This window comes from Homo sapiens, chromosome 21 (genome assembly GCF_000001405.40).
Source record: "Homo sapiens chromosome 21, GRCh38.p14 Primary Assembly".
Classification (NCBI taxonomy): Eukaryota; Metazoa; Chordata; class Mammalia; order Primates; family Hominidae; genus Homo; species Homo sapiens.
In genome coordinates, this window is record NC_000021.9 from 39,440,024 (window position 1) to 39,463,552 (window position 23,529).

The following is a 23,529-nucleotide window of genomic DNA, read 5'->3' on the forward strand; positions in this document are numbered from 1 at the left end:
GTTACAGATCTATGTGCATATATATCTATAAATGTATGTGTATGTGTATATACATATGTATGTATATGTGTGCGTGTATTTTTCCCCTAACTCTGCTGAGAGGGCCTAGAATCAACGACACCCCAGAAACAATGAGTACACTGTGTACCATTCTCCACTAAATACCATTCTCTGCTATAATGAATTGGGGTTCCTTGGAGAAATGGATGATCCTAAGCCTGAGGCAGGCAAAGAGAAGAAAGGCTGGTGTGTATCAAAAGGGCACAGGAGCCAGCTTTAAGAAGCTCCCACTAGTCAAAGATAGGGCAATTTGAACATCAATACCAATAAGGAGGATACATCAGCCTGAGCAACACAGGGAGATGCCATCTCTATAAAAAACAAAACAAAACAAATTAGCTGGGTGTGGTGGTACACACCTATGGTCCCAGCTACTTGGGAGGCTGAGGCTGCAGTGAATTTGATCATGCCAACACTGCACTCCAGCCCGGACAAGAGTGAGACCCTGTCTCAAAAAAAAACAAAACAAAATGGGATTTACCACGTCAGAGTATCTCTTCCCAAAGCACTAATCAAATGCAAAGGGAAAACAGGTGGCTGTGGAGAAAACTGGCAGATTTGTGCTTGAACAGGTAATCAAGGTTCATGTCACCAGGGTGGGACAGGTGACATTCACTAGTGTCCATGGGCACTTGAGAAGATCACAGCACCACTTCTGTGGTCTTTCTGCCACAAGCACAGCCTGTCTGGTTAGAAAAAAACATCAGCCAGACCCAAGTTCAGGGTCTTCCTATTGAATGAAAGGCTTAAACTCTAAACTCTTTGACAAAAATGTTAAATGAACAGAAAAGCTCTTCTCTAAGCTTATAAATGTGGTATTATATAGCTAAGATAATCAATATCTTACGGTTTTCAAGAACATTATTTCAAACACTTTATCTACTTTTATGTGTCCCAATTTTTTGCTTCAGAAATTTTGCGAGTCACTCTAAACATTGACAAAGGGAGGTTATGATTCTTAACACTGATTGGCCTGGCGTGGTGGCTCACACCTGTAATCCCAGCACTTTGGGAGGCTGAGGTGGGCAGATCACTTGGGCCCGGGAGTTTGAGAGCAGCCTGGGCAACATGGTGAGACCCTGTTCCTAAAAAAAAATTAGCCGGGTGTGACAGTCCCAGCCACTCAGGAGGCTGAGCCCAGGAAGTCAAGGCCGCAGTGATGCAGTGAGCTGTGATCGCACAACTACATTCCAGCCTGAGGGATGGAGTGGGACCCTGTTTCAAAACCAAAAAAAACCAAACGAACAAAACACTGATTGAGAGGCAGTATACTGTGGAAGAAAAAAGGTATGTTCCCAGTTCTGCCAATACAACTAGCTATTAGGCCTCAAATGTCTAAGGCAAGAAATTAGGTGATTTCTCAGTGACATATAAGGTCCAGTCTAGCACTAAAATCCATAAATGAAATATACCTATATATATAAGCAATTTCAAGTTTATTTGATAACATGAAAATGTGCCACGTTCAAAGTTTGGATGGTTACAGACTAGCTATGCTATGTAGGTTTTGGTAATTTAACAACTTTATATATTTTAGAACAAATGTTTGAATTCACTACCCGACTGACACCCTAGTCACCTTCAGGATAAGAACCCGTGCCTCTCTACTTCCACCAAGTGGTGGCAAGTGCAATGTACTGCACTGAGTAAAGGGCTACAAATCTTTACACAAGTACCCGTTTTTAGCTACCCTGACACAACATTCTTTTTAATTTTCAGTGTTTGCCTGATTATTTTTACTAGATTTTCATTCTATTTTAATAGAATTGTATTAAAACACACGGCGCTTAGTATCTCTTACATATTAGAATGTTCATTTCATTCATTCTTTCAGCACCCATTTGAGTGCTTACTATGTGCCAGGCACTATGTGGGGTGTGGAGATACAATGATGAACACAAACAGCAAATGTTTCTATTTTTGTGGGCCTTATGTCAGTAATGAACTAATCATAATAGTGACTGTCCAGAGTGTCTTCAAGGAAGGAGATACAACTCTGTGAAGATAAAGAAACCTGATCCTGACAGCGATCAGGGAAGTTATCCCTGTAGAAGTACTGTCTGAGTTGAGATAGGAAGGGTCAGTGGGAACTAATTAGGCAAGAGAGGATGAGAGGGAGGAGGGAAAAACAATGCAGACAGAGAGGAAAGAATGCCAAGGCCTGGTGGGTGGAGGAGGCCCATGTGGCTGAAGCCCAGTGAGAAGGGCCAGCGGTTTCAGATGAGTCTTGAGACGCAGGCGGGGGTGAACAGCTGCAGGGCCTTCGGAAGGCGTGTTTATGATGTGGATCATTAATCCAAGGGCAATGGGAAGCTAACTGTAGGCAAAAGAGGGAGGCGGGAGGGGTGGCATAATCAGCTCTGCCTTCTGAAGGTTACTCTGGCTGCAGGGTGAAGAATCGAGAAAAGCCAGAGGGAATGTGGGGAGACAAGCTGGTACAGGACTGCGGCAGGCTGAATGAAGGTGGTGGTTTGCACTTGGGTGTCCACGACAATGAAGAGATGTGAAAGATGCCCAGGAGACAACCTCACCTGGGCTTAAGGATTCACTGGGTGTTGGGGTGTGATAAGGGTCAAGGAGGAATCCTAGGTACAACGGAAGAGGTTCCAGCTGGGGTTGGGAAGTGGGGTTGTTTGGTTTTGTGCATGTTGAATTGGAGGAGACTGAGTGGTATTAAGAAACACTGTCACGCAGCTAGCTGAACGTACGAGTCTAGCTGAGAAAGGGTCAAGTTGGAGAAAGGTAGGAGTCAAGAGCACAGGGCTGGAACTTAAAAGCTGTGCGTGTGAATCTGTGCCTTGTGCTAGATGAAGGGGCGCAATGGAGAATAAAATGGGAACAGATGCCGAGCTTTGAGAATCTCCAATATTAAGGAGCCTGGGAGAGGAGGGTGAGCCAGAATGGCAGCAGGAAAAGCAGAAGAGTCAGGGATGGTCACAGAAGCCAAGGGAAGACAGTGTTTGTAGAGTGAAATGGGGGCAGCAGTTTCAGATGCCGCTGAGAGATTGAGCAAGACAAAGCCTGAAAAAGTCTCATTCCTGGTTTTTGTTTTAGCAGAGATGAAGAGGGAAGCCATACTGGCTGAGGAGTGAGAGACAAATAATAGAGGCATTGAATATGGCAGTTCTTTAAAGTTTGCCTGTCGAAAGGGATAAGGGATTGGACAATAACTGGAAACTGAAGGGGAACGTGGGGTCAAAGAAGATTCTTTTTTTCTCTTTTGTGATGGGAGACTTGAACATGCTTCAAAACCATGGCAAAGAGCCAGCTGAGATGGAACAGGTGATCATACAGGAGAGGGAATGTATACCTGACAGGGTAGAGTTTTTGGCGAGTGGAAAGCGATGGGATCCAAAGCACGGAGAGGGAGTGGCCTTGGTTAGGAGGAGGAAGGAAGGTAGGAACAGATATAAGTAAGGCTTGCAGTTTTGGGAGCTGAAGAATGAGGGGATTCCCATGTGACAGCTTCAAGCTTCTCTATGAAGTGACAGCACAAGGGCGTGGTGGGAGATCAAATCTGAGGAAAATGGTCATTTATGAAATGCAATCTCCTACAGACCCTCAGCTAACCGTGGCAATCCTACTCTGTTACTTTGGTTAATTGGGGTTTTACCTGATGGCAAAAGAGAAAAGATGGGGCTAGGAGTTTAAGAGAGTGGCAAGGGTAGGGCCGGGCGCAGTGGCTCACGCCTTTAATCCCAGCACTTTGGAAGGCCGAGGCAGGCAGATTACCTGAGGTCAGGAGTTTGAGACCAGCCTGGCCAACATGGTGAAACCCCATCTCTACTAAAAATACAAAAATTAGCTGGGCATGGTGGCGTACACCTGTAATCCCAGCTACTCAGGCCGAGGCAGGAGAATTGCTTGAGCCCAGAGATGGAGGTTGCAGTGAGCCGAGATCTTGCCACTGCACTCCAGCCTGGCCGACAGAGTAAGGCTCTGTCTTAAAAAAAAAAAAAACAACAAAAAAAGAGAGATTGGCTAGGGGCCTTAGCTCCTTGAGGGCAGGGACCTGTCACATTGATCGCGGTATCAGCACCCAGGTACTTACTATTCAAAATGATCAGCATACGGATGATCATTTGTCTGCATCTCAGTTTGCCTCTTTTGGTGCTTCTCTAAAAAATAAAAAAGGAAGAGCTTAAACTCCTACATGATTCCTGTCTTTGCGCTGGGAAGAAGGCTCTGGGTTCTTTTGTTCTTCAGGACAGTCCCTTGTAAAGCTCTTGCCATAGTTCTGTTCCAGGGGCACTGTCATATTTATACCTAACAAAGCTAAGGGGTGTCTTTACATTTTTAGCTTGTTAGCAGGATGCTTATATGGCCTTGCTGACCCGGTTTAAAAGTTGCAATTTGCAAAATACATACTGAAAATACTGCACTTTTACCTATGGAAGTTGTAATTTATATAAGGAAATTGTAATTTATATAATCCTTTAAAAAACTTACTCATACGAAATAACAGAGAACGGGGAAATACCATTAAGACTGTCATGCTCAAGTGGGGGAGGGGCAGACTCAGGGAAACCAATTAGGAAGCAAGTAAAATAATCCACGCACCAGATGATGGGGGCCTGGACCAAGGTGGTGACAGTGGCGGTTGAGAGAAATGGTAGAATTGTGAATCTATTCTGGGTGCATTTTGAAGGCAGTGCTGACAGACTGAAGGTGAGGAAGAGAAAAACAGGACTCAAACAGGATGCAAGACTCGGGCAACTGGAGGATGGAATTTCCAGCAACTATGATGGATTAAGATTGTGGGAGGACAGGCTTGGCTTGGGGAATTATTGAGCGCTATCTTGGACGAGCTGTGTTTGAGATGCCGTAGACATCCAAGTAGGGATGTGGCAGGCAGCTAAATGCAGGGATCTGGTGTTCAGGGGAGGGGCGAGGGCTGGGAATGCACACTTGGGGCTCACTGGAATTCAGATAGGCTCTGAGTACAGGCGACTGGATGAGTTCATCTAGGGATTGAGTGTAGACAGAAAAAAGGCTCAAGCTCACATTCAGCCGTGAAAACTGGTCTCTGAAAAAAGTTAACCGTTGGCTTAAGTGTGGCAACGAAACGTTAACACGCTGAGGGGAGGGTGTGGATAAAGAGCCCCGAGGCTGGGTGAGTGGGGGACAAACACAGACAGAGAAGACATTTCAAAAGATTTAGATTCCTACGAGATAGGGAGATGCCAGCGCTAAGGTTAGAAAGAAAAACTAATCCAAAGCAAAACAGCAAGTAAGCAGAGGCAAAATCGGAGGTCAGATAGAAGATTCAGATAGAAAAACCCCAAAGTTCCCTCGGTGGGGCGGCGGTGAGATCGGCCTCCGCCCCCTCGCCAGACCCAGGCGCGGCCCCGGGAGCGCTAGGTCACCTCGGCCCAGGCCGTCCCCCTGCCCAGCGGGCCTGAGAGTACGTGTGTCGCCGGGGCGCCCGGTCACTGCCGAGCCGGGGTAGCTGTTCCTTGGCAAACTGTGCCGCGAGGAGGAAACGGCGGGGCGCCAGCGAGGCAGGCAGGGGCGAGGACTGAGTGACCGGCGATACTGGAAGCCCAGAAAGAGCGTAGCAGGAGGGTCCGGAAGGGCCCAGAGCTGGGGCTGTAACAGGGTAACCGGCTGAGGGGGACGACGGCAGCAGCGGGGCCGTTACCTGCTCCGCGCTGTTCCCACGACTGCGCCAACGCCGCAGCGCCGGCGCGTCCCCATGGAAACCCGCGCGCGGGGCCTCCTGGGAAGCGCCGGCCTGCGGGGGCTGGGCGCGCGCATGCGCACTCGGGCAGCAGGAGCCGCGGCGGGGAGGGGCGTCTTGGGCCTGGAGGTCAGTGTGGCCTCGCGTTTGTCTTCGGTGACGGGAAGTGAGTTTCTTGTGTAGACGTCTGTAAACGATCCTCCTGCCGTCCCTGTTCGGCGCCCGGGACCCTGCCTTCCCGCGTGGCCGCACCGAGACGAGGGAGCCTGTCACGCGCTCTGGCGCTCTCCTGACCTCTTAAGGCTCTGTCAGTCTTAGGTAACTTGAGTCAGTAGGTGGGTGTAGACGCCTGGTCAATTCCTGGGAAGCACAGTTCCCCTATTAACCCCTTGTCATAAAGACGATTTTTTTTTTTTTTTTGTAAAACAAAATCTGATGACAAAACAATGCATGTTTGGCATAGAGAATTTAGAAATGTACAGGCAAGTCCAAAGCAAAAGTCAAAATCACCTAGATGATGGAGTTATAGATGTTTTTTAATGACAGCATAGGAATTTGGCATAATTTAGGAAGACTTACATTGTTTCCTTTTATTTATTTACTTTTTTTCCTGCATCAAAGCCATGTTGAATATCCTTGCAGATGAATCTTTGAGGTCACCCCTGACTGTTTCCTTAGGATAAATTCCTACAAGCGAGGTTGCAGGGCCAAAGCATATGCTCACTTTGAGGCTTTCTAAAGGTAGAGGGAAACTGCCTTCCAGTAAGTGTCCCGATACTTGGCCCGCATTGGAAATTCTCTTTTTTCTTAAAATTTTTTTGCCCATTTTATTGTCAAAAATTGGCATCTTTAATTGTATTCACTTCCTTTTTAGTAGGAAGAATAGACTTTTTCCCATATCTTGAGTGCCATTTGTCCTTATTGTGTGATTTGCATTTTCCTGTCTTTTGTCCATTTTAAAACTTGACATTCATCTTTGTAAAAATGGGTTTTGTAAGGACTTTTGATGCTTGAAAACTTGGCTTGTGATATACGTTGCAAATATTTCCTCAATTTGTCAGTTACCTTTAATTTTGTTTACAGTGTATTTTGGTATTTGTGTAGAGTCAAGCTTATTACATTTCTCTATAGTTTCTGCATTTGGTTTTTATATAAAAGGAGAAACGGGTGTTTTTTTTCAAATTGACTTTAATCCTACTTTGGTAGAAGTGGGTTAGGACAAGCTTTCTCTCCATATCACCATTTCTTCCTCTAGAAATGCATGACCCACCCTGAGTTTTGGTGGGCCATGCATTTCTAGAACTCCTTAGGTAGGGAATTATCCGTATAAGATGGGTGCCGGTTGTTTTTGCTGGTGGTGGTGGGCGGGGCAACATCTCCAGGTAGGCAAACATTAGACAAATGTCACTCTAGACTTGACATTATGGAAAGATGGGCTGATGCTTGGTGGGTGGTGGTGGCCCCATGACAGTAACGAGAGCGGAGTTTTGCCATTGCGGGAGCATCCAACCCTGGAGCTCATGACTGGAGGAATTGAAAGGTAGAGTTTCCTGAGAATGGTTTCCTCCTCTTTTCTACCAGCTTTTCCCAGTCTGTAGACATGATAAGTCACTGCAAATCTGCCCTTGAATCTTTCTTTGCTTTCGCTTTTGCTTTTTTTTTTTTTTTTTTTTGAGACGTATCACTCTATCGCTCAGGCTGGAATGCAGTGGCGCCATCCCAGCTCACCACAACCTCCGCTTCCTGGGTTCAGGTGATTCTCCTGCATCAGCCTCCTGAGTAGCTGGGATTACAGGTGTGAGTCACAACACCCGGCTAATTCTTTTTGTATTTTTAGTAGAGATGGGGTTTTGCGATGTTGGCTAGGCTGGCCTTGAACTCCTGACCTCAAGTGATCTGCCCGCCTCGGCCTCCCAAAATGTTGGGATTTCAGGCATAAGCCACCGTGCCTGGCCTTTGCTTTTGCTTTCGAAGGGGTGTTCTTTTCTGTGTACACAATGGAAGGAGAAGAGCCATGGCCTTTCACTATTCTGGGGCCATCTCCATCATGCCACATAAAAAGCATAGCCTTTATTTCTCTATATTAGGTTCCTAGGTTCCTAGGGATGTCATAACAGACTACCACGAACTTAGGGGCTTAGAACAATAGAACTTTATCTTCTCACATTTCTGGAGGTCAGAAGTATGAAACCAAGTTGTCTGAAAGTCCATGTTTCCTCTGAAGGCTCTTAGGGAGAATTTTTTGAGTCTTCCAGCTTATGGGGACTCCTGCTATTCCTTGGCTTGTGGCAGCACCACTCCAATTTCTGCTTCCATCTTCACAGGGTGTTCTTCTCTGTGTCTCCCTGTCTTGTCTTCTTATAAGGACAACCAGTCATTGGACTTAGGGCCCACCCTAAATCCAGGATGATTTAATCACAAGACCCCCTCAACTGATTACATCTGTAAAGACTCTATTTCCAAATAAGGTTACATGCTGAGGTTTGGCTGAACATGAATTTTGGTGAACAATATTCAACCCACTACAGTTATTATGGTAATCATTTCCATCATTCTACATAATAAAGACGTGTCTTTATTTGTCATTTTAAGTTATCTGTAAAGTTATGTAAATCAAAACATATCATCTGGTATCATTTATCATGAGATCATCTGGGGGTCTCTATGAAGTTTGTAGCCCAGTACCTCATGTCTTTAAATCAAAATTAATCAAATCAAAAAGTGATGTTATTTGACTTGTTAAAATATACTCCAACAGACGGACAAAATGAACTCCTGTTTCCTAAAATGAGATGCACCAAAAACAGAATGTCCTACTCGGGAGGCTGAGGCAGGAGATGAATGTGGGAGGTGGAGGTTGCAATGAGCTGAGATCAAGCCACTGCACTCCAGCCTGGTGACAGAAACAAACAAAAAACAAACAACAAAACAAAACAAAACCTCCAGAATGTCACAGCCAGAAGGATGAGGGGTTAGTTACGTATTTTTGCATTATTAACTGCTATTAAGTAAGCAGAAACCAGCTTCGAAAAAGCATAGCCAACACAACTTCAGCTGGAAAATTTCCAACTGACCCCGATAGACTGCCTGATGCCAGCCAATGGAAACATTCCCTCCCTCAGTATGCGCCCCCACCCCCAAACGCCTTGCAGACCTACTACAACTCCAGTTGGACAAAGGACTGGTCTTATAAACATTCTTTATTGATAAACAGCTGCAGACCTCCAGCCAATTTTGGCCAGCTTATAGAAATTGCACATAAAATGTCTTTGTGCCCTATAGTTCACCTGTTGATATAAAGAGCCAAATTCCATCCCATTTTAATGCTAGAACTCCACCCCAAGGTGAACATGGAATGTATGATACATATATGTTTACCCACTGCACACATGCCTGAATTTCCTCATAAATATTAGTAGATCCTCTGCAACCTTGCTCAGTATGTATGTAAGGCTGACTCTGTAAGACACAGATACCAGCTCCTTCCTCCCTTCTGCAGCATGTGCATTTTTGGTTTTTTCTGTAAGCTGCATTCCCCAATCTGCAGGTTGTATCTCCCCCTAAAAATAAAATCTCCTTTCCTTCCTCCGTGGATCTCCTGGTCTTTGTGAACAGACATAAACAGCAAGCACTGGAGATGTTGAATGGTTGGCTGCTTGCATCTTCACTAAATTATACACCTTCTTTCTGAAGTGGATTTTGTAAGTCAGGGGTTCATTGAGCTTTATTTTAAGATGCATTTGGAATGTTCGCTATTCCTGTTAATTATGTTGAAGCTCGTTTGTGTCATTAGTGTAATAATACATTAGAAGGAATCTTTCAGCTGGAGTTTTCAGATTTTTAATTTGTACATTTTTATGGTCATTTCGAAAAGAATAAACTTAAAAAAATTCATAGTGAAAAGGGGGCACTAGGAATTTGAGGGTAGCATCTCAGGAGCTTCTCATGTGGTGTGGAGAGGAATGGGTGAGGCTTAAGTCTTGGATATGCCATTTCCTATTCCCATCATCTCTAGTTCTGTGTCCTCATGGTGAGTGGGCATAATAATGGAACACAGTTTTAGGGTTCTTATACAGGTTAAGGGAGTGGCTTATGCAAAGCACCTAGAGCAGATCTGGCACATGGACAACACCTACAAATTGTTAGCTGTTATTTGAGTAGGAAATTAATTTCTCCCCAGGGTTTGCAGATGGAGGAGGTGTCATTATTGAGGGCAGTTTTCACCTGATATAATCAAGAGATGCGTATTCTCTAGAGCACCTGAGAATCCAGCTATAGTTTATGCTACTAACTTACAAAGTCATTAGAAAATATGCCCCCACTTTCTTCAAGTAATATTTGGAGAAATATGGCATGCTTATGTGGCAGACTTTAAGGTGTGAAAATATATAATTGTATGAAAAAATAATACGTACTGTAGAAATTTTGAAAATGCAGAAAAGAAAAACTGATCTGTAATCCTTGGTGTGCTTTAAAATAAAATTTATAATTCTACTGACTTAAATTTGGGGAACCATTAATCATCTTCATCAAGGACCTTATTTTTGGAGCAGCTAACTTTGCATGTTGAAGCCAAAAGTTAAATGTTGGTAGTCACCTCAATCATTCATTGTGATGTAGGGGCATTTAAGCGATATTCCAGGAACTGGGATATTCCGGGGACTGGGATGTCTTTTCTCGTTGCAGGCACCTACCTGAGGGGGTGGGAAACATGCCTCTGGGGCTCTGGGACTCAGGTGAAGAGGGAGTACAGAAGCCTGGGAGATTCCTCTCTGCTTCGGAACGTCGGTGCCACCCAATCCATGATGGGCAGCAGGGGATTTTAAAAAGGGAGCCGGAGAACAGAGAGAGAGAGAGACAGTAAGAGACTCAGTTATCTAAGCTAAATATCCCCCAAGTGCTTCTTGAAAAACTAGCCCTTTGTCCCTAATGCCCTTGATCTTGATTTTGAAATCTATCAGAAGAATTTGCATAACTGGCATTTGGGCTTCTTTGCTAGATTTTGTATTCCTTTAATTTAATTTGTTTGTTTGTTTGATTTGGTTTTGTTTTAGAGATAAGGTCTTGTTCTGTCACCCAGGCTGGAGTGCCGTGGGTGTGATCATAGCTCACTGCAGCCTCAAACTCCTGGCTAAAGGGCTCAAGGGATCCTTCCACCTCAGCCTTCCAAGTCGCTGGAAATACAGATACAGGCGCCTGCCAACATGCCTGGCTGTTTTTTTTTGTGTTATTGTTGTTGGTAAAGTCGTACCTCAGTATGTTACCCAGACTGGTCTTGAACTTCTGGGCTCACACAATCCTCCTGCCTTGACCTCCCAAGGTGTTGGGATTACAGGTGTGAGACACTGCCCCGGACCTTCTCTAACTTTTAACACAATTCAAAATACCTATATAAATATTAACATGTATAAACACAAATATATATAAATAAACACAAAATACCTATGTAAACAAAGAGCCTGTTATAAACAGATTATTTTGGTTTTTTCCCCAAGCACTTTAAAATAGTTAATAAACTTCAAGTCAGTGACAAGTAAATAAAATAGTGAGACAATTGGCTTGTTGCAGCCATGAGTATTGAGAAGCCAGCGGCTATTTCCCTACCTCCCTGGATGTCAGTGAAACTTTAGATGGCCCATGGCTGGTCAGTTTCTGTTCTTTAGGAGAAACAGGTGGGAAAGAGAGCACACTGGAAACAGCCACTCTTAAAGGCATTTCTATTGTATGACAGTTTACTTAAAAAATTTTTTTTAACCTGCCAGGAAAAAAAACAAAGTTGCTCTTTACTTAAAGGCCTCTGTGGCTATTCTGACCCTTCCAGTTTATTTGTTTGCCAAAAGCCCTTTAAACCCAGCCTCCTCCTAGACTGAGGTGGTGTTTTCTGGGCTTTTCCAGCTCCCAAGAGCTCCTCCCTCACTTCTTTCGCCTCCTGCTGCTCTGTTACCGGGGCCCCACCTCCCTTGGCCCCAAGGCATCTCTGCACAGGTCTCCGATTGGTGCACAGCACAGCCTGGCCTTTTAGGGACTGTTGTCGCGCGTTTAAAGTGATAGGGAAAGGGTCCAGTGGCTGCTTTTATCGACCAATCAAATATTTTCCTGACAGATCCCAAAATATTCCTGGGCCAATGGAGGGAGGAGCCCAAGATGCCTCTGCTGCTCCTTGGAGAGACAGAGCCTCTTAAGTTGGAGCGGGACTGCCGGAGCCCAGTGGACCCCTGGGCTGCTGCCAGCCCCGACCTGGCACTTGCTTGCCTGTGTCACTGTCAGGATTTGTCTAGCGGCGCATTCCCTGACAGGGGTGTGTTGGGGGGAGTCCTCTTTCCAACTGTCGAAATGGTTATCAAAGTGTTTGTTGCTACATCTTCTGGGTCCATAGCGGTAGGTGTCTGGTGGACTCTTTCTTCCTATACTCTTTTCTGAATAACTTAGGGTTGGAAATATGGCCAACGTTGGCCTTCAGTTTCTTTTTTGCGTGTAGTCAGCTGTGGCTCTGCAATAAGTATGTGCGCCCTTTGCTTTCTGCATTTGATTTCATAGTGTTGAAAAAGCATGGAAAGGGTGTAATCTGGATGGCTGGGTGTGAAAAGGGATTCGAGTAAGGAGGCGTGCTTGACACTAGAATTTTTAACATGTGATTTGTGTTGTGTTGCCTTGTGAATATCATAGAAGCAGGGACTTTTTTGTATGTGTTTCTGCCATTCATTCTGCAAGGCTTAAACTAATTTAAAATTGTAAATAAATGATACTTTGTGTAACACTGTTTGGAGCGGATGATGAACCAGATTGCTAAAATGACTCTGGGGTGTAATCACTTGTATATGCCATGTAATGATGTAACCATACTGAAAGTGTAAAGTTAGCATGTGTAATCCATTGTTTGAGGAAAGTGATGTCACAGTGACCAGAGCAGACATCTCTCAGGCCACAGTTATAAACACTCCAGGCATTCAGACGGCCCCAAAATAAGAGCTGAAAGCCGACCTTCATAACCAGTGCTTTGTCTAATTTTCTTGAGACCATCTACCTCTTCAATTCTGGCCTTCATTCTGTGCAAGCTGGACCTGCCGTAAGAAATAGGGGTGATGAAGTGACACATTTCTCTTTGGAAATGGGTCAGACTTTGATTTTAGGCTTGAACCTATATAGTGTCTGTCTGTCTGGAACTGATATTTCGACCAGCATTTTAGCAGCAGTTAGGAAGGCTGTGGAGAGAAAAAACAGTTTTATTAAACCCAAGAGTTAGAGACCAGCAAGGCGGCTGTTCCTTTTATATCTAGTTTCTGGAGGATCTCAGGTTTCGGCTGGGATTTCAGCAGCCACTCTGCCAGAAACAGTACCCAGAGTAAGCCATTGGCTGGGGTGACAGCCCCAAAGGCAGCCGCTGAGTGCCACCACTCCCAGCCCCGAAAGTTCATGAGGTTTCCAGAGAGGGTGAGAAGAAAGCAAGAGAAAATAGCTTGGCTGTCCCTTTTGCTAAGTACAACTGAGCAGCTATTGTTTTAGTGATCTCTAGAACAAATTAGCCGAAAAAGATGAGAACACACTCCAAATGTGAAACTCTGCGAAATCTTTTGTGGCTATTGATGACTGCTGAAACTTTCAGTTGATCTAGAAGGAGTAAATTTTTTGGCTATTGGATAAAAAAATTTTTTTGGGGGGGAAAATGGTTTTGGTGGGCTCTAAATACGTTGTTGATGCTCATTGCTAAAAACTTTACCTCTTACCAGCCAGTCCTCTATATATTCTGTAGACCTGGTCTACATATTCTTCAGAAGACAATCAATAAGTTAATGGATTTTTAAGGTTTATTTGATGTCCTGTGTTCTTGAAGTTTGGGCCCATAATTTAGTTAGCTTTGGATGACCTGGAGAGGCAATGTTCATCCCAGGGTCTTGGAAAAGCCATTAGTTTTGGTTCCCTAAGCAAATGTTTCAGTGCCACTTGTAACTGTATGACCTTGGGAAAGTTATTTCACCTTGTTAAGCCTCAATTTCCTTGTCTGTAAAATGAGGATAAGAATAGTGCCTACATCATAGTGTTGTCATGAGGACTGATGAAATGATGTGCGTGGGTGCCCCGCATGGTGTCAAGTGTTTATCAGCACTCAAGAAATATTCTAATGATTAGTGAATGTTATTTATACTTACTAGCTGCTATTAGTTAATATTAGTTGCTACTATAATTGTTATTATTAGTTAGTTAATGAATATTAATTAGGATTTCAGTTACAATTATTAGTTACTATAATTATTAGCTAATATTATTTAGTAGATCAGGGTCTATGATCAGTATGTGTGAGAAGAATTTTCCAGAACCACATACATGAGAGAATTTCTGCCTTAGCCGTAAGAATGAGAATTGATTATCCCTGCGATGTCAGTGCTAATGATTTTTCATGGGTAGAGAAATTTCACTCAAAACTTCTTGGCAGGAAAACCCTAGAGTGGCTTCTTGTGCCCATGCTACTGTGTGGCAGTCAGTCTGCCAAGCCTTTCCTACTTATTTCTTCAGCCTGTACATTTAAAAAATGGATTCTTGCCTGATACCTCATCAGTAAGGGCATTCTGACTTCTGTTGGTTGAATGAAATAAATGAGAAAGGAAAAGCAAATTGTAGTCTCCTTATGAGGAATTAAATACATGCAGCTGTGTATTACATCTCAATTTTAATAGTTGACTTCAAAGAGCTGTGGCACATTTTACCACGTTCTGGACGGATTTGGGTTAAGAGACCCTGGGGAGCAGGAGAGGGCGCGTGACTTCTTCTAGGACCCTCCTCTCTTCCAGAAGGCCACAGTGGGGCAGGGGGGACAAAGGGAGAGAGGACAGTCCCTGCCGTCTCCAAGATGCACAGCCCCTGGAACCGATCTTTAAGGACAGACCCTCATAGTGGCTCTTGGGCTTCACAGTCCTTTCTCCATTTTGATTGACAGTGTAAATATCGTGGGAAAAATATGACTCTTGAATTAGATCGTTGAGTGTCATTCTTGGAAAATTCATTCATTTATTGGAGCCTCAGCATTGTTATAAAATAGCCATCCAAATACCTACCTAGATGGCCCGTGTGACAGTGCACTGGGATGGTAGTGTGCTATGTGGTGCCTGACAGTGCAGGTTTTCAGCCTAAGGTACAAAATGCTTTTCCATGCATCATCTTCTTCAGTTCCCACCAAAACACTGTGAGGAAGGCATTGTTACATCCAGTTTGCAGATGAAGAAATTGGAGATCAGAGCCCTTGCTCAGAAAGCAGCCTTCCAAGCTAGGATGGAAACACAGGTCGTCTCTGGCTCGAATCCAGTGTGCTTTATACTACAGTACAGTGATCTCAGTTGGAAAGTCTCCTAACTGTACAAGACAATAAACGAGAGGTGCCAAGTGAGTGGCAATAAGAGGTGCTGCTGTCAGATCACTCTGACACAGTCTAGTAGCTAACAGTGTCTGGGTGACTTTAGGACAGAGAACAATACTTTCTTATAAGTAAATGTAACAGGATAGGAAAACGGAGCTCTCTGAGTCTTCACTGAGGTCCCAAAGGCTCCAAACAATGACACACACCCCAAATACCCCCAGATCCTGTAGAGCCACTACTCAGGACAGACAGTGCAGCCTGGGGGGCCAGCATGGGCCATGGCACCCTGGAGGGTGGAGAAGGGGCAAAGGGGGAGAGGTGAAGAGTAGGAGTGTGTCCATGATGGGAACTGATGGGGTGCTATGCACACCCCTCCCTCTGGGCCATAAAGAGATGGACTCTTCCAAGAGCTGATACTGTGTCCCTGGGAGTCAGCTCAGCAGGCGCTGTGAGGAGCTGCACTTTGCAGGCCCACAGGAGCTCCTTGATCAGGGACCCTGCAAGGGGGAGGATTTTGGAGGAGAGGGGCCCCATGCTAGAGCCGGGGCACAGGGGTGCAGCAAGACGACAGTGCCGGCCAGGTTAGCTCATGTGCTCACTCCCCTCTTCCCTCCTCTGGCCTGGATCCTAAGACCCTTTTCTGCAGGCTCCCAGCCCAGGCAGAACTCAAGTGCCCTGAATAGCGTGATAAGCAATGCACTGGGCTCTGTTTAAATGACTAGTGTTTGGGGGATTACAGGGGGCAAACAGATTTCATTTTTCTTCTTCTTTTTCTCCTTTTTTGGGGATGAGGGCTGAGAAATGGCACTTAACACAATGCCATGCGTCCAACAGTCCCGCAATGGACCTGGATGCAATTGCCTGTCTTGTGAAGCTTAATCGCAAGCATGGTCTTCCCCTCCCATTGTCTCCATCTCTTTTTGCCTTTCTAATAGAAGAAACATAAGTCAAGACTTTTGGAAATATTTTTCATCTATTCCAAAATTATGGAATAAAATATAGCTTTTTTCCCATCCCACATCAAGCCCTGAGGCATGGTTGATAGAAATAATGTTGGTGAGGTGGCTTGGACCTGGGCCAGCTGCCTCCCAGGCCAATTCGTGCTCCCAAGAGGGTATCTTAGAAGGCTTTGGAGAAAGAGCAGACAGGGGTTTGGACCGAATAAAGGAGTTGCCTTCTGAATAGTTAATTAAAAGTAAAACTGCCTAAAATGAAGGCATCTCTACTCTTTGAAACAGCAAAGTCGTCTCTGAAAAGATGTAAGGGAATAAGTGCTTTATAAAATGGCGTGAATAGTTATGGACAGGTTGGAAAAGATGTGTAGAGAATGCGATTAATTAAAATGATGATTTAGTCCAACAACCTGTCATCAGGTCTGATGGGATTTTGTAATGTTGAAAATTCAGCCGTGAAACTGTGGAATTTGGAGCAGTTTCCATGTGGGGTAGCAGTTTCCGTGTGGGGTAGCAGTTTCCATGCGGGGTAGCAGATTCCATGCGGGGTAGCAGATCTAGTGCCAGGCATCCACGGCACAGCTGTGGGAGGAGGGCACCTTGGTGGGGAGCACGCACCTCCTCCTTTGGTTCTCATAGGCCTGATCCTGGGGAATTACCAGAGTCCATATGCCAGAAGTTTAAGAGAAATTCCATCATTCCACACCTTTCTGTCTATCTATATTTATTTGTCCGTGCTTGCCCCAAACTGCAGTACCTTTGTTGGCCTGAGTCTTACAGATTGAGTAAGTGTTGTGTTGTGGCAAACAGAGCCTTTAATTTATTGATCCACTGTCTTTAGTTCCATTGTCTTTTTTATATTGATGGTATAAGTGTTAATTAAATTAAATGCGTGATTACCATTTATATAAGTTTATATGTGATTTGTATACTTATTTATATAAAATTTTATAATATATATTGACTGTCAATTTTGTTTTAAAAATTAACATAGTAAATATAAAATTTAAAAAAATTAAGAATTACTTGATATTAATTTATATTATATACCATATATAATCAAATCACCATCAAGAACAAATTATATATAAATCATATAAATTATGTATATTATGTAAGTTATATTACATTATATTATATAAATTATATAAAAATCATATATAGTTAAATATAAAAATCTTATTATATTATATTGTTATATATAAAAGTCATATATAAGATTATTATAATATAGTTACATATATAAATCTTATTATATATAAGATTATTATATATTATATAGTTACATCTATAAATCTTATATATAAGATTATTATATATTATATAGTTATATATAAATCTTATATATAAGATTATTATATATTATATAGTTATATATAAATCTTATGTATAAGATTATATATTATATAGTTATATATATAAATCTTATATATATGATTATTATATATTATATAGTTATATATAAATCTTATATATAAGATTATTATATATTATATAGTTATATAATTTGGTCTTGGAGGTGATTTGGTTCTAGGGCTTAAGTATCCAGATTTGTCTTACCTTTCCTTATATTATGAAACACCCAGCCGGGCACTGTGGGTCTTGCCTGTAATCCCAGCACTTTAGGAGGCTGAGGCAGGTGGATCACTTGAGCCCAGGATTTTGAGACCAGCCTGGGCAGCATGGTGAAACTCCATCTCTACCAAAAATTAGCCAGACGTGGTGGTGTGCGTCCATAGTGCCAGCTATTCGGGAGGCTGAGGTGGGAGAATCACTTGACCCTGGGGAGATTGAGACTGCAGTGAGCCAAGATCGTGCCACTGCGCTCCAGCCTGGGCAACAGAGGGAGACCCTGTGTCAAAAGAAAAAACAAGAAACAAAAAAAACAAGAAACAAAAAACCCCAAACAAAGAAACACCCTAACACCCTATACATGAGTCATTAAATTTGTCAAAAGTGAATAAAATAGATATTTTGGTTTACATGTCTCTAAGAAAGGAGTTGAGTTTAGTTAAAAGAGGGTTTGCATCGAGATATTAGATTTGGGATAGACATGTACCTTTTACAGCATTTGTTTGAAACCCTCAAAGTGTAGTCCTTCTTGTAAACAAGGCACATGAAAATGACAAGGGGCTCTTGTGCTCTGTAAAACATTTTTGTGAGTTGTTTTTATATGAGATGGTATTCTATTCAGAAGACTTTTAAAAAATTGAGATATTAGATACTGTCATGTCAAAGAAAATTTTTAAAGTTTATTTATTTATTTATTATTTTTATTTTTTTTAAAATTTGAGACAGAGTCTTGCTCTGTTGCCCAGGCCAGAGTACAGTGGTGCAATATTGGCTCACTGCAACCTCTGCCTCCCGGATTCAAGCGATTCTCCTGCCTCAGCCTCCTGAGTAGCGGGATTACAGATGCGTGCCACCACACCCAGCTAATTTTTGTATTTTTAGTAGAGACAAGGTTTCGCCATGTTGGCCAGGCTGGTCTCAAACTCCTGACCTCAGGTGATCCACCTACCTTGGCCTCCCAAGATGCTGGGATTATAGGCATGAGCCACTGTGCCTGGCCTAAATCTCACTTTTTTTTTTTTTTTTTGAGACAGAGTCTTACTCTTTCACCCAGGCTGGAGTGCAGTGGCATGATCTGGGCTTACTGCAACCTCTGCCTCCGGGGTTCAAGTGATCCTCCCGCCTCAGCTTCCCAAGTAGCTGGGATTACAGACATGCGCCACCACGCCTGGCTCATTTTTGTATTTTTAGTAGAGACGAGGTTTTACCATGTTGGCCAGGCTGGTCTCGAACTCCTGGCCTCAGATGATCTGCCTGCCTCAGCTTCCTACAGTTCTAGGATTACAGGCCTGAGCCACCGTACCCGGCCAAGTTTTAATCTTACTCTTAATAAATGGCCATACTTTTGCCTCAGTATCCTGAGTGTATTCTATATCCATATTGTACCAATTAGTTCTGTGGTTTTTTTTTTTTCACCCAAACAAGCAGTTTAAGAATCTGTTCACATGAAGGACTTGGCACAATGTCTTGTGCAAAGTAGAGAGTCAATAAATAACTGTTGATTGATTATTTGTTTTATTACCCTTTCTTTCTCCTCCTTCCCTCCCTCTCTCCCTACCTACCTTCCTTCCTTCTTCCTTTTTTCTTTTTCTTTCTTTTTTTTTTTGAGACGGAGTCTCACTCTGTCGCCAGGCTGGAGTGCAGTGGCACGATATCTGCTCACTGCAACCTCCGCCTCCTGGATTCAAGCAATTGTCCTGTCTCAGCCTCCCAAGTAGCTTGCACTACAGGTGCGTGCCACCATGCCCAGCTAATTTTTGTATTTTTAGTAGAGACAGGGTTTCACCATGTTGGCCAGGATAGTCTCGATCTCTTCACTTTGTGATCCGTCCACCTTGGCCTCCCAAAGTGCTGGGATTACAGGCATGCACCGCCATGCCTGGGCCTTTTTCTTTCTTTCTTTCTTTTTCTTTCTGACAGGGTCTTGTTCTATTGCCAAGGCAGGAGTGCAGTGATGTGATCATAGCTCATTGCAGCCTCCACCTCCCAGGCTCAAGTGATCTTCCCACCTCTTGAGTAGCTGGGACTACAGGCATGCACCACCACACCTGTCTAATTTTTAAATTTTTTGTAGAGATGTGGTCTCTACAAAAACTTTTTGTAGAGGCCCCATCTCGACAAAAATTTGTTTGCCCAGGCTGGCTGGTCTTGACCTCCTGGGCTCAAGTGATTCTTCCACTTTCAGCCTCCCAAAGTGCTGGGATTATAGGTGTGAGCCACTGCACCTGGTCTGATTACACTTTTTGTAAGTTTCTCCCTGTGGTTATTAAAATGGGGTCCACACAGTCTGCTGTAACTTATTTGCCAGTGTTTATAAAAGATGGCATCATACATTTTCAGGAGTGAATTCTTTGAAGAAAGAAAATTGTAATTGCTTTTGTAATTGTTTATGGGGAAGGAGTTCTAAGTGTGAGAGATGGCCACGTTGGTAAGAAATGGCTACTGGCAGATACAGTCATTACGTGTTACACAGGTAGAGAAAGGACATTCAACCATGTTCCCTTAGGTGTGGCTGCACTGAACTCAGAGAGGAGCCAGGTGTGAGTAGGAAAGGAGGAATCTGTGGGAGAAAAGGGTTGTTTTGTTGTGTGGCTTTTTTATGTGCTGGGAGAAACATCCTCCAGCTTTTTCTAGCCTCTGCTTGTGCCCTTCCCCTCCAGTAGTCTCTGTGTGAGCTTTTTAATCTCCTGTAATATTTCTAAAGCTACTTTTAGTTCAATGTGACTAATACTCTTATTTTCATAACTGAATGAAATGCATTTTAGTGTGGGTATACTTGATATTTGAATTTCATAGTAAAGTATCTTTTTTATTTTATTATTTTGCTTTATTTTTTAAAAATTAAACTAAAAAATTTTTTTTGAGACAGAGTCTCACTCTGTCGCCCAGGCTGGAGTGCAGGGCTTACTGCAACCTCCGCCTCCCAGGTTCAAGTGATTCTACTGCCTCAGCCTCCCGAGTAGCAGAGATTTCAGGCGCATGCCACCACGCCCGGGTAATTTTTGTATGTTTAGTAGAGATGGGGTTTCACCATGTTGGTCAGGCTGGTCTCGAACTCCTGACCTCGTGATCCACCCACCTTGGCCTCCCAAAGTGTTGGGATTACAGGTGTGAGCCACCGCACCCAGCCTTCTATTCTTCTTTAAACAAAATTTTTATTTTATTTTTAAGAGACAGGGTCCCGCTTTGTCACCCAAGCTGGAGTGCAGTGGCATGATCAGCACACTGTAACCTCGAACTCCTGGGCTCAAGCAATCCTTTTGTCTCAGCCTTCCAAAATGCTGGGATTATAGGCGTGAGCCACATTGTCTGGCCTCTTTTTTCTCTTCTTTCCCTTTTCCCAATCCCTTGTCTTCCCAATTCTGACTTACTTTTTGGCCATTAAAGCTTTGCAAAAAATTAAAAGTATTTTGAAGACTGCAAAAAAGATACGAGAGCATCTCTATTCCAATTAGGTCATGTGAAAAGACAACATTACAACTCATCTAGTTTTGTAGATTTTTTTTTTTTTTTTTTTTGCGACAGTTTTGCTCTTGTTGCCCAGGCTGGAGTGCAGTGGCGCAATCTTGGCTCACTGCAACCTCCACCTCCTGGGTTCAAGCGATTCTCCTGCTTCAGTCTCCCGAGTAGCTGGGATTACAAGGCATGCGCCACCACGCCTGGCTAATTTTGTATTTTTAGTAGAGATGGGGTTTCTCCATGTTGGTCAGGCTGGTCTTGAACTCCTGACCTCAGGTGATCTGTCCACCTTGGCCTCCTAAAGTGCTGGGACTATAGGTGTGAGCCACTGTGCTTGGCTGTTTGTAGATCTTAATTGGCTTTTGTGATTCCAGAATCTGGCAGCAGTCAGACCAAAAAATGGTTCACAAAGCTCTGCCCCACCACACGTGCAGGTTATATTTATCGCCAGAGAAAAGGAAATAACATTCAGAAAAAGGATGTGAGGTACAGACAGCTAGGTTGGGTTATAACTCAGTATTTGCCTTATTTGAAAGTGGTTTGAACAGTTGGCCGCCTGTGATTGGCTGAAGCTTGTCTGCTGTCAATGACTGAAACTCAGCTCTGGTTACAAAGGCAAATTTCTAGTTAGGTTTTCAGTTTGTTTATGTACTAAGCTAGGTTGCAGTTCATTACCTAGGACTCCTATGGAGTCTTCTAAAGCCCAAATTTAGTTTTAACAGTTGATTATACAATAATTAATTAATTATTTTATTTATTTATATTTTTTTGGGATGGAATCTTGCTCTGTCACCCAGGCTGGATTGCAGTGGCATGATCTCGGCTCACTGCAACCTCCACCTCCCAGGCTCAAGTGATTCTCCTGCCTCAGCCTCTCAAGTAGCTGGGATTACAGGCGTGTGCTACCATGCTTGGCTAATTTTTGTATTTTTAGTAGAGACAAGGTTTCACCACGTTGGTCAAGCTGGTGTCGAACCTCTGACCTCAAGCGATCCACCTGCCTTGGCCTCCCAAAGTGCTGGGATTACAGGTGTGAGCCATCGCACCCAGCCTGATTATATAATAATTTAAGCATTGATGATACTAAAATTTCAGAATTTAAATAGTCATTTGGTTGACCCTTTATAACAAAGAGGTGTGATTCTATTATTTTCCTTGTTTGAATACTTAACAAAATTATTTGTGTTGTATAGTATAACTAGAGGAAGGATTTAATTTTTGTAAATGTAAGCAAAATATTTTTCATAAACAGCCTAATATTTCTCTACTCTTGACCAGATTAGGAAGAAACAGCAAGAAGTAGTGGGTTTTTTGGAAGCGAATAAAATCGACTTTAAGGAATTAGATATTGCTGGAGATGAAGACAACAGGAGGTGGATGAGAGAGAATGTTCCTGGAGAGAAAAAACCTCAAAATGGGATTCCTTTGCCTCCCCAGATCTTCAATGAGGAGCAGTACTGTGGGGTGAGTATGTGCTTCTATTAAAAATCCTGCTGTGTGTGTGTTTATTAGAAATTTTCTAAAGCAGATTAAGTTTGAGTCAGCATTTGAAATTATTCACAACTGTCAGGTCATGGTCTATTTCTGCCATCCAATAGCTGGATGGTAGATCCATTATGAATAATCAATATTTAAGATTTAGAAAAGGACAGAAACAATATCATGATGATTCAGAAGTTTTGGGGATTATTTCAGGTTCTTTGTTTTATTTTGAAGAATTGAGGTCACATGTTCAGAAAATACATACATTTAGCTAGGAATTCTGTTCAGCCTTGCAGTGTGCACACACGTGTATCTGCAGAGGAACATGGTAAGTTTTCTCTGTCACCCAGGCTGGAGTGTAGTGGTGCAATCATGGCTCACTGCAGCCTCTTTCTCTTGAGCTCAAGCGATCCTCTCACTTCAGCCTCTTGAGTAGCTGGGACTGCAGGAGTGCAGTACTCCACCCAGCTAATTTCTAAATTTTTTGTAGAGACAGGGTCTCCCTATGTTGCCCAGGCTGCTCTGGAACTCCTGGCCTCAAGTGATCCTCCTGCCTTGGCCTCCCAAAGTGCTGGGACTACAGGTGTGAGCCACGGTGCCCAGCAAGTTTTCACTTTTATAAAATTGATTTGTAGAAATAAAGTCTTACTATAGATACAAGATACATTTGTGTAACTTTAATTAGTTTGAAAACTGTTCTGGGCATTTTGGTTATAACAACAATTTTGTTTTATACATTTGATAGTTCATTTCACCATGAGATCACTTTTTTTCCCCAGAGTTTATAGATCATACTTAATAAATCAAGTCGTTGGAAAGAAATATTTTTAAAAAAGGACTTCAGAATATGAGAACTGAAAATTAACTTAGAGGTCATCTAAGCCATCTAGGGTTTTTGCAGATGAGGAAATGAGAGCTGTGTGAAGTAGAGGGAATGTCTCAGCGCCATGCGCCTGGGACTGCTGGAGCCAGGT

The 23,529-nt window shown here is 43.2% G+C and overlaps 3 protein-coding genes and 1 non-coding gene across 66 annotated transcripts in view, besides 2 other annotated features; 3 read left to right on the top strand and 1 right to left on the bottom strand.

The window, feature by feature from the left end:
* LCA5L (lebercilin LCA5 like) overlaps positions 1–5,755 on the bottom strand; it is a 40,051-nt gene extending 34,296 nt beyond the window's left edge. For 28 of the 57 annotated variants that reach the window (NM_001384294.1, NM_001384295.1, XM_047440697.1 and 25 more), the window contains exons 1-2: positions 5,702–5,755; positions 4,112–4,178 (exon numbers count right to left, since the gene is read on the bottom strand). The gene's annotated coding sequence lies outside the window, so the exon portion shown is untranslated. Of the gene's footprint in view, positions 1–4,111; positions 4,179–4,620; positions 4,723–5,426 lie in introns of all 57 variants that reach the window. The other 29 variants (NM_001384292.1, XM_011529470.2, NM_001384287.1 and 26 more) reach the window with 5 other exon arrangements.
* The window catches only part of GET1-SH3BGR (GET1-SH3BGR readthrough), a 135,179-nt gene that overhangs the window by 59,698 nt on the left and 51,952 nt on the right, over positions 1–23,529 (top strand). For all 3 annotated transcript variants that reach the window (NR_146618.2, NM_001317744.2, NM_001350300.2), the window contains one exon: positions 22,352–22,537. Coding sequence is in view for 2 of the 3 variants with exons in the window: in NM_001317744.2 (NP_001304673.1) it covers positions 22,352–22,537 (186 nt within the window). In the remaining variant the exon portion in view is untranslated. The remainder of the gene's footprint in view (positions 1–22,351; positions 22,538–23,529) is intronic.
* Positions 5,666–5,925: a silencer, noted in NCBI's record as "silent region_13328". NCBI's record gives its function as "represses an Ori minimal core promoter by ATAC-STARR-seq in GM12878 lymphoblastoid cells {active_cell/tissue: GM12878}" and the evidence as "EXISTENCE:reporter gene assay evidence [ECO:0000049][PMID:35858748]".
* SH3BGR (SH3 domain binding glutamate rich protein) overlaps positions 5,842–23,529 on the top strand; it is a 69,642-nt gene continuing 51,954 nt past the window's right edge. For 2 of the 5 annotated variants that reach the window (NM_007341.3, NM_001317740.2), the window contains exons 1-2: positions 11,947–12,118; positions 22,352–22,537. In NM_007341.3, the coding sequence (NP_031367.2) occupies positions 12,074–12,118; positions 22,352–22,537 (231 nt within the window). In that variant the 5' untranslated portion in view covers positions 11,947–12,073. Of the gene's footprint in view, positions 6,059–11,946; positions 12,119–22,351; positions 22,538–23,529 lie in introns of those variants that run through there. The other 3 variants (NM_001317742.1, NM_001001713.1, NM_001317741.1) reach the window with 3 other exon arrangements.
* On the top strand, positions 6,987–7,046 carry MIR6508 (microRNA 6508). Its single transcript, NR_106763.1, has one exon. It is a non-coding gene; the product is annotated as a microRNA 6508 (primary transcript).
* Positions 11,389–11,927: an enhancer, noted in NCBI's record as "H3K27ac-H3K4me1 hESC enhancer chr21:40823338-40823876 (GRCh37/hg19 assembly coordinates)". NCBI's record gives its function as "activates a minimal SCP1, AML or CMV promoter by ChIP-STARR-seq in naive H9 embryonic stem cells {active_cell/tissue: H9 hESC(naive)}" and the evidence as "EXISTENCE:reporter gene assay evidence [ECO:0000049][PMID:30033119]".